Source organism: Homo sapiens, chromosome 5 (genome assembly GCF_000001405.40).
Source record: "Homo sapiens chromosome 5, GRCh38.p14 Primary Assembly".
NCBI classification, from domain to species: domain Eukaryota; kingdom Metazoa; phylum Chordata; class Mammalia; order Primates; family Hominidae; genus Homo; species Homo sapiens.
Genome location: NC_000005.10, coordinates 51,185,423 through 51,190,574, shown reverse-complemented (window position 1 = coordinate 51,190,574; position 5,152 = coordinate 51,185,423). Strand labels below are relative to the sequence as shown.

The window sequence follows — 5,152 nt, the reverse complement described above, 5'->3', positions numbered from 1 at the left end:
TTAATTTTTAATAATTATGACTGAAAATAATCATAGTATGTAGTAAATATCATAAAACATCACTTCTGATGATATAGCACATTGTTTTCAACTTTGCAGAACATTTATTAGCTCAAGGCTGAAATCATTTTAAATTCAAACTTACAAGAAAAGACTAGTAGATAATATGTATTATCACAATAGCAAATTTAGAATCATAACCCTAGAAAGGCTCCTTCTCACATGCAGAGTAAGACAAATTGGCATTTACCAGTTGTATTGCTTTTTACAGGAAGATGACCATGATAGGCCACTAATGCATAAATAAATATTTTAGAGTGGAATACTTCAACACACAAACACACACAGGCATACACAGACACAGACACGTAGATTTATTGGCATCAAACACTGTTGATTAAAAGTTAGAAACATCATACTGACCATATTCAGAAAGCTTTTGAAACAATTTCATAACCATATGAAATGAACTACAGGACAGAGAACCCTTATATTTCATAAGCACTATATGCTTTAGGCAAAAACACACTAGAACCATAGGCTGTTACCATTTGTAGGAAGGAAAGCTCTTGGGTGGCCCTCAGGGGACACCCTAGGCAAAAGGATATTACTGTAATCTAATCTGTATAGAAAATCATCACAGAAGTGGGAAAAGAGAGAAATGATGAAATTCTCCATTTTGGATCAAGATGTGGGGAAAAAAATCAAATCCATTATGAGTAACATTGTTTGAAAATACAGAAACTAGCGTATAACTCTATTTCACTCTATTCACCTTATTAAAAAATGCCATGTTTTCTTGCATATTTTGAGAGGATAAATGTTTTATAAAGGCCCATACTTAAAAAATATTCCAACTGAAGTGGCATTCTGTAGATACAGTGAAAGAGAGTAAGATATCAGAATCCCTCCTGAAGAGTAAAGTCATCCTAGGAATTATCTTATTGTGCTTTGTTGTTCAAAGAGATCACCTAAAGTGAGAGTTTCCTCTGAAGTTGATGGGATTCAAAGCTTGGAACTATGTTAAAAGTTTCAAAGGAGATTGAAGGCTGTATGATATTCCAAACAGAGACAGCACTATGAGCCCACAGCAACATTTAGGATTATCCACATTCTTGTTGAGGTTCCTGTAAAAGGCTTCCATTTCAAGTGCTAAAAATTTTCCAGGAATTCCAGTTATTTTATATATTCCTTCATTCACTAATTCATTCATTGATTCATTGATTGATTCATTCATTCGTATATTAAGTCTACCAATACTTGTGAAACTTACAATGAACTAGACATTTTTTGTAAGGCACTGTGGATAACAAAGGTGAGTAAAAAGAAGACATGATTCTTTCATAGAATTTACAATCATATGGGGGAAGACGGTAATTACTAAAATAATCTCAATAAAGAAAACAAAATTTATAACTGAAATAATGGAAGTTCAGCTATAGAAAACACAGATGCATAATGACCTGTATACATCATTACCTGTATTTTTAAAACAAATACAGTTGGTTTAATTGCTGATGTATTTTTTGAGTTACATGTATATTGCATAAGTTAATTTTATTTTATATATATATAAATTTTATTTATTAGGAGATATAACAATTGTATAAACATTTAATATAATTTTTCTCAAATTACATTATGTATGTTTGTAGATGAACTTTAGTTTAATACAAGTTTGAACTTTAAGAAGAAATCTTCTGTATAAATTTATGGGAAAATAAATTTTATTTTCTCACCAAGATAACACTATTGCTATTAATAAAAATTGTTATTATAAAAAATAGCCACTTGGGAGTACTTTCTTTCCAAATCCTTATATATAACTTATTCATGTGAATAATTTTTCCTTAAACTTATTTTTATGAACTGTGAGGACAAGGTAGAGTATTTAAAGATCAAGGAAATCAGTGGAAAGAGGGAGGCAATTACATTTTATTTCCTAAAGCATCACAGTGATATAGCAGTATAAATATGCTTCGTGAGAATTCTGGGCTGGGTTTAAAAAAGAGTACACAAAGCCATCAAACACAAGAACACGATTTCTCTTAGACATCAGATTTTCTCATGTACTATTGAATTTCTTCCCACCAACCTGAAGCTCTTGCATGAAAATGGCAGCAGAAGCATCATCTATCCTCTGACATCTGTGCGCACACACACACACACACACTAGTGGCAGGCACACAAGCCATGAGAGCATAAAACTAGGCTAGAGGTCTGGATGCATCATCTGGTACCTGTTATAAGTCAACAAGATCCTGTGCTAAGTGGCTTCACAGATTGCACCAAGCAAGAAGCAAGCCCCAGGAGAAAAAGCCAAGGCAATATTGCTCCAAAGGGCTGTAGAATTGTGGCAGTGGTCTCAGTTAGTGACATTGATGATACAGACGACAATTAGGAGAAAGGGTTTAGAATGTGAATGGGGAGCAATTCAGCTGCTACAATATCCATCAACAGACTGTTGCCTGAGGCGAAAGGGACCCTGCTGTCCTTTGTTTTTCTGTTCAAACTAGAAGATTGGGGAGACGTGGGGGAGTGAAAGCGGAATGTATAAAATTCATCATAACTGAAATTTTTTGAGCTAAATGTTGTTGAATAATTTAAAGTGGCCATTTCTTAGAAATAGAGTTGGTTGTTCCCTCCAGCTTTAATAAATGTGAGATATCCTACAGCACTGAGATAGTTCTCAACTTAAAAAAATTTGAAGAAAAAAACCTTTAAAGAAAAAAGGTTTCTACCTGCTCAGCTTAACTACTAAGTGTTCACCTATGTCTTCCTTTTCTTAATAAGCCTTGTAATAATCTCCAGCAATATGGTGGTGTGTAGCCATTGTTTAAACTATCATTAGCTTTGTGGTTGTCACTTGAATGGCATTGAACAAACTTTGTTTCAGGTTCTCTATATAGCCCTCCTACTTAGGCTTACTATATAGTTTAACATAAAACCATAAACAGACTGCAGCTCACCAATTTTTTTAATTAAATGATTTTTTTAAAAGTTAAATGAGTTTTTTTGAAAATTAAAATTTATATATGCTAAGGAATTTAATGTCATTGATTTTCATGAAAAATTAGCATTTTTCTGGGAGGAATCCTACGAGTCAATTTATCGTATGGTTATAATAGCAATAAAACTGAAACTATCAAAAAGTCAAAATTTTTTGAACTCTAGAATGTATAAAATCTAGAAGGTGTCAAAAGGCAAGATTTTACTCATGTGCTGTCTCTGAAATGAAAAAGACAGAATAGTAGTAGCAGGTTAAATGTCTTGCCTTTATGTCCCAGAAAGAAGAAATACTGCGCAAGTCTAACAATAGATTTTTCATCATATTTCATATATTTCTTATAACTAAATTCCATAGAAGTGCCACAAGAAATATACTTCTAATGCTACTTGGATAATTTTGCTTTGGTTCTCAGAATAAAAGCAAGGATCCCAGAATATATAGAGAAAAATGTTCAGTATTTGATGTTTAAACGTTCAACTCAGAAAAAATTCTCTTGAGTTCCAACAGATGTATAGTCTGTAAAATAAGAGCTATTTGATATATTCTTTTTAATACCTCAGAAAATATGGTTTATTATGCTATTTATAAATGGAAGCTTAAGCAATTTATTTTCAAAAGACATCCTAGCTCCAGTGCTTAATGACAAATTAGAGAATGACAAGCTTCTCATTTACACAATATATACTGAGTTAAAAAATATTAAAACATATTTTGCAGAGAATACCTTTTATTTCAAACATATGACTTTATTATATTTTAGTTAATTCTTTATTTGATTAGCAGATAACCTCCTTTGTAAGGAGCCTAAATATAATGCAACAGAAATAAGAAAACAGGTCAAATAAAGATTCTGTTAGATCCCAGTGACTTTTATTAGTGTTTTTCTGTATTTATGGTTAATTATGTTTACAAGGGAAATACCAAAAACAACTTATCACCATGAATTCTAAAATCATACAAACTTGCACCTGAGAAGAATTTTCAATGGGAAACAAAATCAGGCCAACCTCAATCATGGCTTATTAAATTACAGCTGGTCCAAAACTGTTTGATATTCAAGCAGCTAATTAGCAATGGAGATGGCTAATTCAAACTCTGGGCTTTGATCTCCAGTTCACCCAATATTTATTAGGTTTATTTTAAAAAGAATGAAAAGGGAAAGTATCCTGAAAGCTGGAGGAGACAGTCTGAACAGTAGTTTACTTATAATTTACAGACTTGTGGTACTTAATATATAATGCAATAATCTTCCTGGTGCCATTTGCCATTTGGACGCTGCTACAGATTATAGCTTAGGGCACTGCATCTGTGCACAGATCTGGCAGGAAATGGTCTAAAATCTTGAACAGCTGAGCATGATGTTTTGGTATAGCTGCAAAATTCAACCTCTGCTCCAGAGGTCACTGCATGCTTCTGTCCTGACAGCCCAAATTGTTAAGCATGTGACTAATATGCATACAGAACACAGGCTGCCTGACGTCTGCTACAAGCTTGATGGCTGGTTAGCGGCTAGTCTTAATTTTATGTGACAATCCTATGTAGGAAGTGCTGTGGGGGTGACTAAATGGAGCATATTGATGTCCCACTGGGTGTAGCCCCTGTTGTTTTGACAAATTCTCCTTAGCATTTATCAATCAGGCCTACAATGGGGAGTGCGCTGAATATCTAATTCAGACATGCTAGTCAGGGCTAATAGAGCAAGATAGCATGTTATTCAATTTGTACTTGTTAGCGATGTCCCACTGTCACTGGGCAATTTACCTTCACACTTCACAAATGAAAAGAGAAATTTGCTGGGCTTCAAACACTTACATGAGTTACAAGCAAAATTTTAATTAGCATGTCATTACAGCAATAATTTATTGCTTCTTTGTAGTTTTCCTCGCATACAGATTATGTTTTTCCTATTTTAGAACGGATGCCCTCAAGGCTTGTGAAGCAGGTATTAATAAGGACAGCTAACAAGCATTACTAAAAGATACATATGAATATTTTCTTTCTGTGGAGTTTTAAATATTTACGTATGAAAATAAAATTGATCCATGAGATTTTTATTTTGGGTGATTCGCTCAGTGTTTTACCAATTCTGTTCTAATATGGTGTTTGTTTATTTTAACAGGTTCTACCATGTTTCGATTTCCT

At 33.3% G+C, this 5,152-nt stretch overlaps 2 annotated features.

Annotated features, from left to right (window-relative positions):
* Window positions 2,158–2,696: an enhancer, noted in NCBI's record as "OCT4-NANOG hESC enhancer chr5:50483713-50484251 (GRCh37/hg19 assembly coordinates)". NCBI's record gives its function as "activates a minimal SCP1, AML or CMV promoter by ChIP-STARR-seq in naive H9 embryonic stem cells {active_cell/tissue: H9 hESC(naive)}" and the evidence as "EXISTENCE:reporter gene assay evidence [ECO:0000049][PMID:30033119]".
* Window positions 3,931–4,937: an enhancer, noted in NCBI's record as "VISTA enhancer hs586". NCBI's record gives its function as "enhancer in: nose[5/8]" and the evidence as "EXISTENCE:transgenic organism evidence [ECO:0001131][PMID:17130149]".